We start from the raw sequence: 18,062 nt of genomic DNA, 5'->3' as shown, positions 1-18,062 counted from the left end.
TTTCCTACGTAAATGTAAAACTGGTATTCAGTAAACCTTTGAAACATACCATGATTAGTAAAAATGTCGTGGAAGCCAAATAAGACATCAGGAATTGGTTTAGAATTCACCAAGGCTTGACTATGCTAGACATCCACCATGGCTGGTTGTCAGCTGGGGCTGTCGATCAGAGTATCCAGACATAGTTTTTCCATGTACATTGAACTTCTCAGAGCATGGCAGCTAGCTTCTAAGAGAAACTGTCCCAAATAATCCCACACACATATGAGTATTAACAGATGTTCAGTGTTGTATCATTTATTATGTCAAAAGATATTAGAAACAAATGGAAAATCCATCTTATAAATTATGGTAGAGCCATACTACAAAGTATTGTACCATCATTAAAAAGGATGAAGGAGCTATAGTGGGACTGATAGAGAAACACCTTCAAAGATTTATTGCTAAATGAAAAATCAAATTGTAGTCAATATTTGTAAAATGATATTTATGTAAAAAATTTTGTGTGCATTTGCTTATATAAATGTCATTCTTATACACTTATTTTAAAAAGTCTAGAGGGCTATACAGTAAAATGTTAAGCGTGTTCACTTCTAGGGTAGAAAATAGCATGGGAGCGCAATTGGACTGGAGGAAGATTTTTATTTTGTAGCCTACAGGGTTCTCTATTGTTGAGAGTTTTTCTTTTAACAACAATGGGTATTGTTTTTATTATTATTATTTTAGATGATGTGTTGCCCAGGCTGGAGTGCAATGGCACAATCTCAGCTCACTGCAACTTCTGCCTCCCGGGTTCAAACGATTCTCCTGCCTCAGCCTCCCAAGTAGCTGGGATTACAGGCATGCGCCACCATGGTCAGCTAATTTTATATTTTTAGTAGAGATGGAGTTTCTCCATGTTGGTCAGGATAGCCTCGAACTCCTGACCTCAGGTGATCTGCCTGCCTCAGCCTCCCAAAGTGCTGGGATTACAGGCGTGAGCCACTGCACCCGGCCTGTTTTTTAATTTAAAAAGGAAAGGAGGCTGAAATTACAACCCTGTCGGGCACAATAAAACTTCAGTTTGGTGGTTGACTCCAGTTTCATGGAGTTACACAAAGCATTGTATATGCAATTCTAAGGCAGAAAACACTATTTCCTACCTTGAAGGTAGCCTGTAGAGTGTTTTCTGATGAGACCACTCTTCTAGAAGATCTGGGCCTTCATAGTTTCACTTCTACCTGTATAAGTAAATTGGGTTAACTATAGGGATTTATTTTCTAACAACTATTCTTTATTTCTCACAAGAGCTTAGAAAGTGTTTTCTTTCAGTAACACTTACACAGTGGCAGTGAAGTCGGTCATTTTGCCATCGGTCCCCCCGTCTCCACAGTACATCAGAAGTGAAATCATATGTGCCGGATTTCTCATCCATGCTATTGACAGCAATTCATGCATCGTAAGTTTGATGAAACATCTGCAGATTAATTGGCTCTGCCAGATAGCGAAAAATCTCTTAATTTACCCAGATGTCCTAATTAATTGTAATCTTGTAATTTGTGTCCACACTATGGGAATCCTAAGGTCATCCTTTCGGATCATCTATTCCAGAAGGTCCCCCAGAAGATTAGGGTCTTAGCCTCCCCTACACCAGCAAGACTCAGATCCTTTCTTGAAAAAGCTCCAAGTCAATAAGAAATTAAAATATTGTACTTTCTTTTTGAAACAGGTATCTTACTTTAACCATATGTCTGCTAGCATCCTTCCTTACTTTGCTGGAAATCTTGGTGGCTGGTCAAAATCCATTGAAGAAACAGCAGCCTCTTGTATACAGTTCTTAGAGAATCCTCCTGATGATGGGTTTGTAAGCACATTTTAAAGGTCAACTTTCAATTACTGGTAATTTAATTTCCCACTTTTAATTCCAAGCACCCTTAGCCCTGACATCTGTCAAGCTTTGGGGCCACAAAATAATTTAATATAACCCTAAGCAAAATGCAGTGACGGAGTTAAAAAACAAAATGCATCTTAAGTCAAATACCAGTGATTTGGATTAGCATTAAAAGAGCTTTAGAATTCTGTTGTAAGTCATCTGTGGCTCTGCCTCTTCCAGGGGCACAGATAGTGGAAAATTGCCTGTATGCAGTACTATGTGTTCTATAAAATGGCATGAATTTAGTTTAAATTATCGTAAACATTTTTAGGTTACAGAGGTGAAACATGCATTCTGTGTGAAATTCCAAAAAAAAAATTATAAAATCTAAAATGATTTGCTAAGTTGACTCGTTGATTAATGTATGGCATTCTTCCTCGTGCAGCAGGTGTCTATATGTCAGGAGCATTTGACAAGATGTATTACATAGTCTAGAGATTTAAATTAGGGAGACATTAAAACATAATGGAATCCAATCAATTTTAGTAATAAGAACAACTTTGTGTCATTTAACATATATTCCAGGTGGCTGACCAATTTAGTGTCTATTGCTCTAATAGACACACAAGGTACCTGTAAAATGTAGTATTACAGAGAAAGAGAATATTGACCGTGATCTCTTTCATAACCATTACATTAGCACTTTATTCCGTAGACTTCAACATTCAGTATTCTCCTCTGTGATTTGTCTTAACTCATGAGACAAGCCAGAATATGGCAAGCTAGCCTCCTCTCAAGGACACGTTTTAAAAGTTGAAGGAGTCTCCATTTTTGGTGGGAGCACTTAACAGATTAGATGCATCCTGCTGTTAGTTTGCTAAAGTTCTACCTCTGCTCCCCCTACCAACCCTCACCCATCTATTCACACAAGGTAAGCCTGGTTATAATTATTTTCATTTTTCCTGTGCCAGCAAGTTTTCATTTACATGAACTTTGGACTGTTCTGCAATTTCATACATTAACATTTATATACGTAAGAAGAGTGGATATGTGGATTAAAATAATTATATATTATATTCCAGAAGTAGAGATGGTTTTGAGAATATTTTTACATTTTGAAAAAGTCAACAAAATTAGTAATGAAGGAGTTACATTAAACTAAAATTTCAGACCTCACCTACAATTGAGACACTTCCAAATGCTGTCTGCCTAGCCTAGGTCTTTGAGTTTACATTTTTTGAAATGTTTTCCTGAACAGTAACGGAAACATTGTGAAGTTAAAGGAGTAGAGTGATGATAGCTGGATCACTCTGAGACATAAAGATGTTGCCCACTCTAATTGACAACAGAGGCATAGTCTATTCCTGCATTCCCCAATATGTGTCATTAAATAGCACTAGGCACGTGTGCTATTTAATTAAAATTAAATAAATTTCAAAAATCAATTCTCCCACCATACTAGCCCCATTTCAAGTATTATTAGTCACCTGTGGTTAGTGGCTATCAAATTGGACTATACAGGTATAGAATATTTCCATGATCACAGAAGATTCTTTAGATAGTGCTGTTCTATTCAGTTTGTCCCAGTCTTATAATAATGCAGACAGGTCCTGTTTTCCCATTTTCACCTATCTTAGTGCCAAACAATCCCTTCTACCCCTTTTTTAAATATATTTCACTTTTATGTTTCTGAACAAAAACATAGGACTCATCCACCTGGCGCTTTCTTGGATCATTCAGCATATCCTGAATTGAAGAGCTCATTTTCAGGACTACTGGACTTTAGAAATGCTAAATGAGCATGGCAAGAAGATAAGATAGCAATGCATTTAGGCTCTCCTTAGGGCATTTCCAAAAGTTTGAAATCTATTGTCTAAAACAATGCCAAAATTAACTAAGGCATTCCAGTTGTAAAAGTTAACAATAGCTCTTAAGTTTGCATTTTCCTTTTTCTTAGGAATATACTCACTCTTTCATTCATTCAGATATTTATTGAGAACTTTGTGCTAGACACATCTTAGGCACGGCGGGTTCAGCAAGAAACAGAAGCATACTCTGTTCACATCATAAATAAAATTAATATAGAATATTAGAAGATATAAGGAAAAATTAAGCAGGGTAAAGATGAAGAGTGCTGGGGAAGGGTTGGGGGTGGTGGTTGATATTTTAAGTAGGGTGGTCAGTGTAGGCTTCCTTGAGGGACATTTGAGCAAAAGCCTGCAGGCAGACAGGGAGTGGGCTGAGGATCTCTGGATGCAGCATGCTTCCTACCGAAGGACTAGGCGAGGCAAAGTCCCTAAGCAAGGGAGTGTTTCTGGCACATTCTAGGAAAGCAAAGAACCTGGTGAGACTTCAACAGAGCGAGAGAAAATTAAAGACAGCTGAATTAAAGACCATCTTCCCCTACTCTCTTTGATGTCCAGGCTTTAAGCAAACGCGTTTGCTCCAAGGGTAAGCAGCTAAGTTAGTTCATCAGCAGTCAGCCCCCTGGAAACTAAGGACAGAGGAAACCTAGAAAAATTAGTCCCACTGATTTTTTTCTTTGGAGTGTCAAAGTATCCTTAAGGGACACTCAAAATTTCATGCTGTTTTTTTGATGGTAAGGGTTTTCAAGTGCTTCTAACAGGACCGAAAGCTTCTTGATTAAGAAAGGAATCTCAGCCAGCCGCGGTGGCTCACGCCTGTAATCCCAGCACTTTGGGAGGCCAAGGCGGGTGGATCACCTGAGGTCAGGAGTTCAAGACCAGCCTGACCAACATGGTGAAACCCCGTCTTTACTAAAAATACAAAAATTAGCTGGGTGTGGTGCTGCGCACCTGTAATCCCAGCTACTCAGGAGGCTGAGGCAGGAGAATTGCTTGAACCTGGGAGGCGAAGGTTGCAGTTTGCAGAGATCGTGCCACTGCACTCCAGCCTGCGCAACAGAGTGAGACTCTGTCTCAACAAAAAAAAAGGAAGCTCATTCCTATTAATTCTTCCTGGTTTCAATGCAATCTAGTTACTAATCTGCATTCGGTTTCTCTATTATGTTTGTTTTAGAAAAAAATCTAGTGAAAGAAATGTGAAAATGAATCAGAATATAGTTTACCCTGTACTCAAACATCTTTAGGAAATGATCAATTTTAATAAATAATGGAAAGAAACTAGTATATATATATATGTGTGTATGTATATATATGTGTGTGTGTGTGTATATATATTATATATATGTGTGTGTATATATATATACACATATATATAATCACATATATATAATCACATGGTTTTGTTTATATTTCTTATTACACATTTCAGAAATAAGCTTGGACATTTTACTGGCATAGTTATAAGGATAGTCTTGAAATATATGTTGATACTATCATATTTGGGATTAAGTTAAAAAAAGAAAATATATGTTGAAAAAGACATATAAAGGAATAAGTCTTGTGATTTAGAGTAAATTATTAAAATAAGAACTATTAAGTTTGCTCATAATTTATTTCCCCTTTCCAAAGTATTAAAACTATGGGGACAGACAGCTCACCATGAGCCCTGGGTGGTCTTGCACATTCTTGCTGAGTGTGCCAGGCTACAGGACTAATCTGTCTACCAATTCTGAGCAATTTCTGTAGCTAGTCCCATAGACAACTAAATAGGTCAAGGTGACCACAGCATGATTCAGTGTAACTGCTCACTCTCTGGGCAGAGGAGGCCTGGCTTGTTTGCTGCCTGCTACAGTGCTCGCTACTTGCTCAAAAAGTTATCGGCCTTTGGTTCCTCAGCTGTGACACAAGCCCAATATGTCTGCAGCATTCACTAGGCCCTTCTTGTCACCTCTGTGGGACTTGGAGGGAAAGGAAAGCAACACAAATATGCTGATACTTATGCTGCTTGCTGTGTCATGAGTAATATAGTCCTTCATCTCTGAACCAAAAGTCTTGTGTCTTTTGTCAACATCCACAAAACAATAAGAGGCTAACTTAATATTAAGACTCTTGGCCAGGCGTGGTGGCTCATGAATGTAATCCCAACACTTTGGGAGGGTGAGGTGGGCAGATCACCTGAGATGGGGAGCTTGAGACCAGCCTGACCAACATGAAGAAACCCCATCTGTACTAAAAATACAAAATTAGCCAGACGTGGTGGCATGCGCCTGTAATCCCAGCTACTCACAAGGCTGAGGCAGGAGAATGCTTGAACCCAGGAGGTGGAGGTTGCAGTGAGCCGAGATCATGCCAATGCACTCAAGCCTGGCAACAGGGCGAGACTTCGACTCACAAAAAAAAAAAAAAAAAAAAAAAAAGAATCTCAGGGCTGGGTGTGCAGTCGCTCATGCCTATAATCCCAGCACTTTTGAAGGCTGAGGCACATGGATCACTTGAGCCCAGTTTGAGACCAGCCTGGGCAACATAGCAAGACTCCATCTCTATGAAAAATGAAAAAATCAACCAGGCATGGTGGTGCATGCCTGTAGTCCCAGCCACTTGGGAGGCTGAGGTGGGAGGATTGCTTGAGCCCTGGAGTCATGGCTGCAGTGAGCCATGATCATGCCACTACACTCCAGCCTGGGAGACAGAGTGAGACACTGTGAGACACTGTCTCTAAAAAGAGAAAGCAAGACTCTCAAACCCTTCACAGTTATTGACAGTAAACCATCTCCAGATTCAAAAGTCAGAGAAATCTGATATTAAAAATGCCTTTCTCATTTTACACCTGCAAGGATGAAGCACCCTATAAAAATTATATACCTGATACCACCTTTCACATCCAATTTAGGGATATTTTGGAGATACTGAAAATAGATTAGAAAAAAAGTATTTTTATCATTGGACACAACTCATTCCCGCTTTACATGCCCCCCCGTTTCCTTGTCCGGCTTAGATTCCGTGGTCCATCATTATAATCACTCCCTGGAAAACACTGCACCTCTGTCCTTTCATTCAGCTTCTCTGACAAAAACCCCAACTATGGCTAAATTAAACTATTCATAATACTTCATTCCTGCACACAGCAGGTGAAAATTGTGTACTGGTCTCACTTTAAGTTCGTGACCACAAATTTTAACAGGGTGCTTAGGAGGCTGGTAATTCTACTCCATCTCCCTGGATGTTTGCTATTTCACACTGAGTCCTCTTCCCTCAAGCTTCTCGTGTCTCTTACCCTGACTCAGGTCATGAACTTCAAAAAATATTCATTGAGAAAATATAAACCATCAGGCAGGAGTCTTTTCCTATTCCCATCCATGCGCCTTTCACTTCTTTGCTTTTTCTTCTGTTATAATGGATGAAATATCTCTACCCCTAGCAGAGAACACTTTCTCTCACCTTCTCCAGGACTCCCTTCCATCAGTTCTCTTTTTTCTCTGCTTCAGGAGCTTCTTTACCTCCACTGGATTAATTTTCACAACCACAGGTGTCTCTTAAAATAAAACGATACTTTTTCTGGATGCATTTCCTAAATCCTGCCCCATGTCTATTCCAGTGGTCTATAGAGGTGGTCTTCACACCTTTATTTTATTTACCTAACTATACTCCCACCTCCACTACTCCACAATACTTCTATTATCAGGATCAACTATGTCTTTTCTATTGCCAAATCTAATGGCCCTGTTCTTGACTTACTTAGTCTCTGAGCAGCCTTCAGTGAAGTTGACTCCTTGCTTCTTTTTGCAACATTTTCTCTTCTTGACTTCCATGATGTCACACTCTTAGAATCCCTCCTACATCACTAATTCCATTTTTAAAGCCTTTTCTTGTGGTTCTTCCTGTTCCATCAGGCCTCTCAATATTAGGTTACCCTAGGGCTCTGGCCTTGGCCTCTTCTCCTCTATATCTATTCCTCAGTGAGTCTAACCAGTATCTGGGTTTAAAAGCCATCTATTTACCAGAAATTCCCACATCTATGTCTCTAGGCTTAATTTCTCCTGAACTTCATGCTTGTATACTTAAGTACTTATTTGGTATTTCCATTAGGACAATAGTCATCTCAAAGTCAGTATTTCCAAAACAGACCACCCAAATTCTGCCACCTTTCCCCCAACAAATTCCCTTTCCTTCAGCAAATTCTATTGGCTTTTTGTCAAAAATATAATGAGAACCTTACTACTTCTTATCAACTTTACCACTAAAGCCCTAATCCAAAACGCTATCTTCTCTCATCTGGATTATAACCTATCTTCCCTGCCTGGCACAGTGGCTCACACTTGTAATCTCAGCACTTTGGGAGGCCAAGGCAGGCAGATTAACTGAGGTCAAGAGTTCGAGACCATCCTGGCCAACATGGTGAAACCCCGTCTCTATTAAAAAACAAAAATTAGCCGGGCATGGTGGCACATGCCTGTAATCCCAGCTGCTTGGGAGGCTGAGGCAGAAGAATTGCTTGAGCCCAGGAGACAGAGGTTGCAGTGAGCCAAGATCGCACCACTGCACTCCAGCCTGGCCAACAGAGTGAGACACTGTCTAAAAAATATATATATATATACACATATATGTATATATACACGTATATATACGTGTATATATACGTATATATGTATACATATATACACATATATACATATGCATATACATGTACATATACATATACATATATATTTTATACATATACATATATATATAAAACCTATCTTTCCATTTCTCTTTTTTGCTCCTCTCTTCATTCTACTTTCAACCCAGTACCTGATCATGTCACATTTCTCCTCAAAACACATTAACAATTTTGCATATCACAGGGTAAGAGCCACAGTCTCATAATGGTCTATAAGGGTCTGCGTGGTACATTAGATGATTATTCAGAACTATTCATTCTGTCGCCTTTCATTCATGAATGGAGTATACTTTCCTACTCCTTGTCTCTGGGCTTGACCATGTGACACATCAATGGAATGTTAGCAGACATCATGCAATCAAAGGCTTGAAAAGTATTTTTGCAATGGACTTTCCTTCTTGCATTTCTGCCACTGTCATGAGAAAAACATGCCAAGGTTAGTCTGATGGTCCCAGGAAAGGGAAGAGAGACACGTGGAACAGACCTGCTTCATCTGAGTCCAGCTTAGATCAGCCGAACCCAAACTGAACTGCAGATGGATGTGGACAAGCCCAGCTAGGTTTTGCAGGGCTGTCTAGGTATGCCCAGCCTAGATCTCTGACCCACGGGCATGAGCTAAATAAATGGTTATTCTTGTATACTTCTGAAATTTTGTGATTGTTACTTAGCAGAAACTGACTGATAGAGCCTACAAGATTTGAGCCTTGTTAACTATATGATCTTTTACTAGTTTGTTCCTTCATTCTTTTCCAGCCATATTGGTCTCTCTGCTGTTTTTTTTTTTTTTTTTTCTTTTTGCTATACCAGGCATGCTCCTTCCTCAGTATAATTGCATTTATCTATTCTCTCACCTCAGGATACCCAAGGTGATATGCTTTTGCTGTGTCCCCACCCACATTTCACCTTGAATTGTAATCCCTATAATCCCCACATGTCAAGGGCAGGACCAGGTGAAGGAGATAATTGAATCATGAGGCGAATTCTCCCGTGCTGTTCTCATGAAAATGAGTGAGTCTCACGAGATCTGATGGTTTTATAAGCGTCTGGCATTTCCCCTGCTGGCATTCACTCCATCCTCTGCCCTGTGAAGAAGGTGCCTGCTTCTGCTTTGCCTTCCACCATGATTTTAAGTTTCCTGAGGCCTTCTCAGCTATGCAGAACTGTGAGTAATTAAACCTCTTTCCTTTATAAATTACTGTCTCAGGTATTTCTTCATAGCAGTACTGTTGAGAACAGACTAATACACCAAGGCTTACTCCCTCACCTCCTTTTGGTCTATCCTCAAAATCTATCTTATAAAAGAGGCCTTTCCTAAGCCCCTTATTTAAAATCAACCCCCACCCACGCCAACTTCCCTTTTTCTTTTAAATTCTTATTATCTAACATGTATGTGGGGTTTTTTTTTTGTTTATTTTTTGAGACAGAGTTTCCCTCTTGTTGCCTAGGCTGTAATGCAATGGTGCCATCTCGGCTCACTGCAACTTCCGCCTTCCGGAATAATATTAAATAATATTAAAGACATTATACACCATTTCCTGGCTTTCATTGTTACTGTGACAGAGAATATTGTTTTTCTTTGTAGGTAATGTATTTTCTCTCTGAATGCTTTAAAATAATCTCCTTATTTTATGGTTCTGCAATACACTATAATGCCTAATTGTGTATTTCTTCTTATTTAAACTTCTTGGGATATATTGAGTTTCCTGAAAGGAAAAAGAAAAGCCTCAATGATTCTGAGAAATTCTTGGCCATTTAAAAAAATATTGCCTCTTTCCCATTCTATTATAAATTTGTGAGGCCTTCTCATTCTGTCCTCAATGTCTGTTAACCCCTTTTCACATATATCGATCTCAGCATTTCTCTGTGAATTTGAATTTCTTTAGATTCATCTTCCAGTTCAGTGTTCTGTTCACCTTATCTTTCTTTTTGAGACAGAGTCTTGCTTTGTTTCCCAGGCTGGAGTGCAGTGGCACAATCTCCACTCACCGCAACCTTTGCCTCCCAGGTTCAAGCAATTCTTGTGCCTCAGCCTCCCGGGTAGCTGGGACTACAGGCATGCACCACCATGCCCAGATAATTTTTTGTATTTTAGTAGTGTCGGGGTTTCACCATGTTGCCCAGGCTGGTCTTGAACTCCTGAGCTCAGGTAATCCACCCACCTCAGCCCCACCAAAGTGCTAGGATTATAGGCGTGAGCCACTGCACCTGGCCCACTTTATCATTTTTTGACCTAAAATTAAAATTTCAATTTCAGTTATATATTTCAATTCTAGAAGTTTCTATTGGTTACTTTTTAAGTCTGGTAGTTTTTTGTTTGTTTGTTTGTTTTTTTAAACAATCTCCTATTCCTTGCCCAAGTTTTCCATTTTTAAAATTTCTTTAAATATATGAATGGCTATGGTCTGAATGTTATATCCTCCCCAAATTCATATGTTGAAATCCTAACCCCCAAGGTGATACTATTAAAATAGAGCATTTGAGAGGTGATTTGGTCTGAGGGCTGAGCCCTCTGGTGCTCTTACAAAAGAGGCCTGAAGGAGTTTGTTTGTCCTTTCTACCATATGAGGACACAGCAAGAAGGCACTATCTGGTTTTTTTCTTTTCTCTTTTTTTGAGACAAGGTCTTGCTCTGTCTCTGTCATCCAGACTGGAGTACAGTGGTGCGATCTTAGCTTACTGCAGCCTTGACCTCCTAGGCTCAAGCAATCCTTTTCCCCCAGCTTCCCAAGTAGCTGGGACTACAGGTGCAAGCCACCACGTTCTGCTGAATTTTGTATTTTTTGTAGAGACGGGGTTTTGCCATGTTGCCCAGGCCGGTCTTGAGCTGCTGGATTCAAGCGATCCACCCACCTGGGCCTCCCAGAGTGCTAGGATTACAGACGTGAGCCATCTTGCCAGGCCAAGAAGGCACTATCTATTGAACCAGAGAGCCGGCCTTCACAGACACTGAATCTGTTGGCACCTTGATCTTGGACTTTTTAGTCTCCAGAACTGTAAGAAATAAAAATTTCTGTTGTTTATAAGCCATCTGGTTTAGTTTATAGTATTTGGTTATAGTGGCCCAAACAAAACAAAACAAAACACAAAGCATACTTGTTTATATTTTCTCTAATAATTCCCAAACCTGAAATGTTTGCAGGATTGATTTTACTACTCATTGCTGCTGCTGGCTCTTATTCATAATGTCATATTTTCTTGTGTGTTTTTGTGATTTTATCATGCAGTCTGGTCCCTTGAATTTTGTGTGAATTCTTTGAGGCCTAGGTTGTAGTCGAGGGCTGCCAGAATGGATTGTGATGATTCTGCCGTTGCCAGCAGATTTTTTAATGAAGATCTCAAGTTGAGGCCAATTTGACCATACAAGCAGTATGAATTAAGACTGAAAACTCAGGTGATAGTGGACAATTTTTCTCCCCTGCCACCCAATGCCAAAGTGGAGACAGGCAACAAGTTTTCTTCCTGTCTTCTTTAGGGCAAGCTTATGTCCCATTCACTCTTACGTTGAGGGTATAGCTCTTTGGTCTCTGCTTTATGCAAAGTTCTTCAACCATACTGCCCATAGTAAGTAGGCCCTTGACTTTATTTCCTTTCCCAGGCAGCTCAAAGTTTTTAGGATTCAGCAGATACCCTCAGCTTCAGCACCGGCTTATCTTCTGAAGCTCCTGCATTCACTTAATATCTGGCCTCTGTAGGTTCTGTGCTTCCTTGTAAACTCAGTTATGCTTTTAAGGAGATTGAAAAATAAATTTATTCCACATTTTGGGGGTGTATTTTTGGTGGTAAGACAAATTGGAGGTTCACCCTCCTGCCAGAAACAAAATTTATGTCCATTTCTCTCTATCTTCACATTCACCGCCCTAGTCTAAGACACTATCATTTCTTACTGCAAGAGCTTCCTAATTTCTCTCTCTGTGTTTACTCTTGTACTCCTACAATTTATTCTCCATATAGCAGCCAGAATGATATTTTTTAAAAAGGTTTGTCACAGCATGTCACTTCCTAGCTTAAAACTTCCCAATGAGGAGAGTAGGCAAATATTTAGAGAAAGAAAGTAGGTTCATGGGTGCTTAGGGTAGGGTGGGTGGGGTGTCTGTGAGCATTGGGGGATAGGAAGGATGAATGACTGCTAATGGGTATGGGTTTCTTTTTTTTTTTTTTTGAGACAGTTTCGCTCTTGTTGCCCAGGCTGGAGTGCAATGGCGCTATCTCAGCTCACTGCAACCTCCACCTCCCGGGTTCAAGCGATTCTCCTGCCTCGGCCACCCAAGTAGCTGGGATTACAGGCATGCACCACAACGCCCAGCTAATTTTGTATTTTTAGTAGATACGGGGTTTCTCCATGTTGGTCAGGCTGGTCTCAAATTCCCGACCTCAGATAATCCGCCCGCCTTGGCCTCCCAAAGTGCTGGGATTAAGGGCGTGAGCCACTGCGCCCAGCTTGGTATGGATTTCTTTTGAAAGTGTTGAAGATGCTCTAAAATTGATTGTGGTTATGGTTGCATAGCTCTGTGAATATACTAAAACCATTGAATTATACACTTTAAATAGTCAATTATATGATACGTGAATTATATCACAATACAGTTGTTATTTGAGAAACCACAACAGCTTTCCAACAGGGAGAAGGATGTCCAGAATAGTCAACTAGGAACCTGTTTCATAATGGTAACAAAAACTTTAGCAAAAATTATCCAAATAAGCTTTTTCAGAACTCTGGAAGTGAATCAAAGGCTTGCAACAATACAAGGAGTGTTTATTCAAGAAAAGCAGCTGAATCTCTGTAAGAGCATGAGTTTTGTAGCATTTCAACTTGTCCTATTCCCATTCTCTTCTCCAGCAGGTCCTAAGTAGTTTTGAAAATCAGCAATCTCACAATTACAGTTGCTGTGAAAAATAGCAGCCTAATAGCCACTGGGGAGGTGGGGGTGGGGAATTGGAGCTCTCCCCCAACAAACATCCCCAGAAAACTATCACTGTTTTTCCTGCTTGGCAGTTCTCTGGAAAAGCCTCTTTCTAAAGCTTGCCTTTGATTTAGCACTTATTTAGTGCAAACAGCCCCATCTCCTGAGTGTGGTGGAAAACAATCAGCAGCAATTGTTTAACATCATAACTGCCTGATGCAGTGATACTAGTTGAGGCAAACAAGAAGCTAGGTAAAAACTTAAAAGGAAAATAAGGAGAATCATGACCCCTATGTTCATGGATCAGGAAACTTAATATTGTTAAGATGGCCATATTCCCCAAATTCATCTACAGACTCAACACAATCCCTATCGAAACTGAAGCTGGCTTTTTTGCAGAAATTGATGAACTAATGCTCATTGTGAGATTCATATGAAAATATAAGGGAAAATAGAGAAGAGAAAATAAACAAGAGAAAATAAACTTGAAAAGTTTGAGGACTTACACTTACTAATTTCAAAACTTAGTACAAAGCTATAGTAATCAAAAGTGTGGTACTGGCATAAGGATATACATAAGGATCATTGGAATAGAACTGAGAGTCCAAAAATATACTGTTATATTTGTGGTCAATGATTTCAAAAAGGAAACCAAAACAATTTAATGAAGAAAGAATACTCTAAAATTTTCAACAAACAGTGCTGGGAAAACTGGATATCCACATGCAAAACATGATGTTGGATTCCCTACCTCCAGTCATATACACAAAAGTAATTAAAATTGAATTATGGGCCAGGCATAGTGGCTCACACCTGTAATCCCAGCACTTTGGGAGGCCGAGGCAGGCAGATCACCTGAGGTCAGGAGGTCGAGACTAGCCTGGCCAACATGGTGAAACCCTGTCTCTACTAAAAATACATAAATTAGCCAGGCATGGTGCAGCATGCCTGTAGTCCCAGCTACTTGGGAGGCTGAGGTGGGAGAATGGCTTGAACCTGGGAGGTGGAGGTTGCAGTGAGCGGAGATTGTGCCACTGCACTCCAGCCTGGGCTACAAACTCTGTCTCCAAAAAAAAAAAAAAAAAATTGTGAACCTAAGTATAAGAACTAAAAATATAAAACTCAGAAGAAAACCAGACCTTGGTGATATGGTTTGGCTCTATGTCCCCACCTCTCTCATGTCAAATTGTGATTCCCAGTGTTGAAGGAGGGGCCTGATGGGAAGTGATTCAATCATCGGGGCAGACTTCCCCTTGCTGTTCTCGTGACAGAGTTCTTATAAAATCTGGTTGTTTGAAAGTGTGTAGCACCTCCCCCTTCACTCTATCTCTCCTGCTCCACCATGTAAAGATTGTGCCTGCTTCCCATTCAACTTCTGCCATGATTGTAAGTTTCCTGAGGCCTCTTAGCCATGCTTCCTGTATAGCCTGTGAAACTGTGAGTCAATTAAACCTCTTTTTTTTTTTTTTTTTGGGATGGAGTCTCGCTTTCTTGCCCAGGCTGGTGTGCAGTGGCACGATCTCGGCTCACTGAAGCCTCCACTTCCCGGGTTCCAGTGATTCTCCTGCCTCAGCCTCCTGAGTAGCTGGGATTACATGTGCCCACCACTGCGCCTGGCTAATTTTTGTATTTTTAGTAGAGTCGGGGTTTCGCCATGTTGGCCAGGCTGGTCTTGAACTCCTGACCTCAGGTGATCCGCCCACCTTAGCCTCCCAAAGTGCTGGGATTACAGGCGTGAGCCACTGTGCCTGGCCTAAACCTCTTTTCTTTATAAATTACCCAGCCTTGGGTAGTTCTTTATAGCAGTGTGGGAACGGACTAATACTCTTGGGTTAGACAGTGGTTTCCTAGGTGTGACATCAAAGATAACACCAAAAACACAAGAATAAAAAGAAAAATCAGATAAGATGAACTCCATCAAAATTTAAAATTTTTGTGCCTCAAAGGACACCATCAAGAAAGTCAAAAGACAAACCACAGAATGAGAGAAAACATTTGCAAATCATAAACCTGTTAAAGAATTTGTATATAGAATAAATAAAGCCGTTTCAATTCTGCAATAAATAACAACCCAATTAAAAAATACAGGAAAAGAATTTGAATGGACTTTTCTGCAGAGATCATATAACAAATGGCCAATAAGCACATGAAAAGGCATTCTACATCATTAGTCATTAGGGGATGCAAATCAAAACCACAATGAGATTCCACTTTACACCCACTGGGATGACAAAAATAAAAAGGAGAAACAAAATCAAGTGTTGCCAAGGATGTGGAGAATTGAAACTCTCATACATTGCTGATTAGATTATCGAATGGTATAGTCACTTTGAAAAATATTCTAGGTATATACTCCTAGGTATATATCCAAGAGAAATGAAAACATGTCCTCACAAGATTATACACAAATGTTCACAGTAGCCTTGTTAATAATAACCAAAAAGTGGCAAACACCCAAATGCCCATCAACTGATGAATAAAATGTGGTATATCTATGCAATAGATTATTATGGATGAATCTTGAAAACATCATGTTAACTGAAGGAAGCCAATCACAAAAAACCACATATTGCATGATTCCATTTACATAAAGTGTCCAGAACAGGCAACTGTATAGAGACAGAAGGTAAATTAGTAGATGCCAGTAGCTGGGGGAAGGAAGGGATAGGGAGCAACTGCTTAAGGGTATTGGCTGTTGATGGGGTGATAACATGTCCTGGAATTAATGGCGATGGTTGTACAACTCTGACTAGATTAAAAGCCAGTTAGTTGTACACTTTAAAAGTGTGAATTTTATCGTATGTGAATTATATCTCAATAAAGCTGTTAGGGGAATAAAACCAAAACTTTCCCATGGCTTCCTAAATTTTCCAGTGTGATACTGCCCCCACCACCTCTCTGACTTCGTCAAATGATAAATACATATTATGGGCCTACTATGTGCTAAGTACTGTTTTAGGCATTTGGGGTATATCAGTGAACAGACAAGAATCCACCCCCCGTGGAGATTATATTCTAGCAGAGAGATGGGACAAAAACGACACATATAATAAATAACTTAATATGGTAGAAGGTGATAAATGACACAGAAAAACATAAAGCAAAGTAAGGGGAACCAGGAGTGCCAGTGTTAGGATGGAGATGTAGATTCTGTTTTAAATAGGGTGGTCAGAATAGCCCTGATGTGGCCCTTCTCTAGGCTTCAGCTACACTCCTTTCTGTCCCTCACATATGGCAAACTCATTCTCTCTTTAGGGGTTTTGGCTAACTCAAGACTGGTTCCTTTGTGTCATTCAGATTTCAGCTTTAAAATTTCCACAGAGGCCTCCTCTTGATTATCCAATCTAAGAGCTACCCAGTCACTTGCATCATCTCTCTGTTGATTCCTTTTATATCACTCATTGAATTAACTCATTCAACAAATGCAAATGCTTCATACATTCCAAGCATTTCTAGGGATATAGCAATGAACAAGAATCAAAATTCCTGCCCTCGTGTAACCTATAATCTGGTAGAGAGGGAACAAATAGAGCTATAGTGTTAGGTATTGGGATGAGGAAGCAAGGAGCTGCTCTTTCCTATAAGGATGGTCATAGAAAGACTCAAGCTGGTCATAGCAGATGCCTGAAGGAAATAAGCAGGGATGGGGGGCTGGCCATGGGGACTGGAGGGAATGTCAAGTAAAGAGCAACTTGAGATTCAGGCCTCATGGCTTGGAACATAATTGTAGTGAAAAAAGAGACAAAAAGGTAAACTCACTTTTTCCCCAGGGGAAAGTGAGTCTGTTTAAAGCCATATTGAATTTGAAGTATTAGTGGAGCATCCCAGTAGGAACATTCAGGAGGCAGGTGAAAAGACGGGACTGAAACCTGGGATTTTAGGGCTAGCTGGAGATTTAGGAATCATTTATGGAAAAGTGAAAGATAAGTTTGTAAGAAGAGATGAAATTTACAAAAGACCGAAGGAGCACTAAAGACTAAGTCTTAGGGGATTCAGCTGGGTGTAGTGGCTCATGCCTATTGTAATCCCAGCAACTCAGGAGGCTGAGGCGGGAGGATCGCTGGAGCCCAGGTGTTTGAGGCTTCAGTGAGCTACGATTGCATCACTGCACTCCAGCCTGGGTGACAGGGTAAGACCCCATCTTAAAAATTTTTTAAAGTCTCAGGGGATTCAAAAAATATTTTAGGAATGTAATAAAACATTTCTTGCTGGTATTTTCCCTAAGTCTCCTGTCCATTATTCAGCCCCATTATAATGCATGTGGTCTTGTCTGTCTTGCTGACTGCCACAATTTCAAGTGCATAAGAGTAACAGGAACATAGTAGTGCTTGGGAAATATATAAGATGAATGAATAAATTGTTTGCCTTCCTCTTTAGGCATTTTTAGCTAAGAAAATAACCAACGTCTATAGTTCCTTTTAATGAACACTCAGGATCTCTCAGGATTTCTGCCTCTGGTGCATTCCTTTTAGTGTCTCTACACGTGTTTAATGTTACATTCAGTACCTGCAGTTTATTTCTAATGACTTCACTGCCTAATATTTATAGATCATTAAAATATAAACAAAGTAGGCCGGGCATGGTGGCTCAAGCCTGTAATCCCAGCACTTTGGGAGGCCGAGGCGAGCAGATCACGAGGTCAAGATTTCGAGACCAGCCTGGCCAACATGGTGAAACCCCATCTCTAGTAAAAATGCAAAAATTAGCGGGGTGTGGTGGTGCGTGCCTATAATCCCAGCTACTCAGGAGGCTGAGGCAGGAGAATCGCTTGAAGCCAAGAGGCA

General features: G+C 40.1%; 1 protein-coding gene across 5 annotated transcripts in view; it reads left to right on the top strand.

Moving 5' to 3' along the window:
* Positions 1 to 18,062, top strand: part of ACOT12 (acyl-CoA thioesterase 12) — an 85,526-nt gene that overhangs the window by 61,883 nt on the left and 5,581 nt on the right. For 4 of the 5 annotated variants that reach the window (XM_017009047.2, XM_017009046.2, XM_017009045.2 and 1 more), the window contains 2 exons: positions 1,312 to 1,438; positions 1,709 to 1,839. In XM_017009047.2, the coding sequence (XP_016864536.1) occupies positions 1,312 to 1,438; positions 1,709 to 1,839 (258 nt within the window). Of the gene's footprint in view, positions 1 to 1,311; positions 1,439 to 1,708; positions 2,257 to 18,062 lie in introns of those variants that run through there. The other variant, NM_130767.3, reaches the window with a different exon arrangement.

The sequence above is a fragment of the Homo sapiens genome, chromosome 5 (genome assembly GCF_000001405.40).
Source record: "Homo sapiens chromosome 5, GRCh38.p14 Primary Assembly".
In the NCBI taxonomy this organism is placed as follows: Eukaryota; Metazoa; Chordata; class Mammalia; order Primates; family Hominidae; genus Homo; species Homo sapiens.
This window is presented reverse-complemented; position numbering and strand designations above follow the sequence as displayed.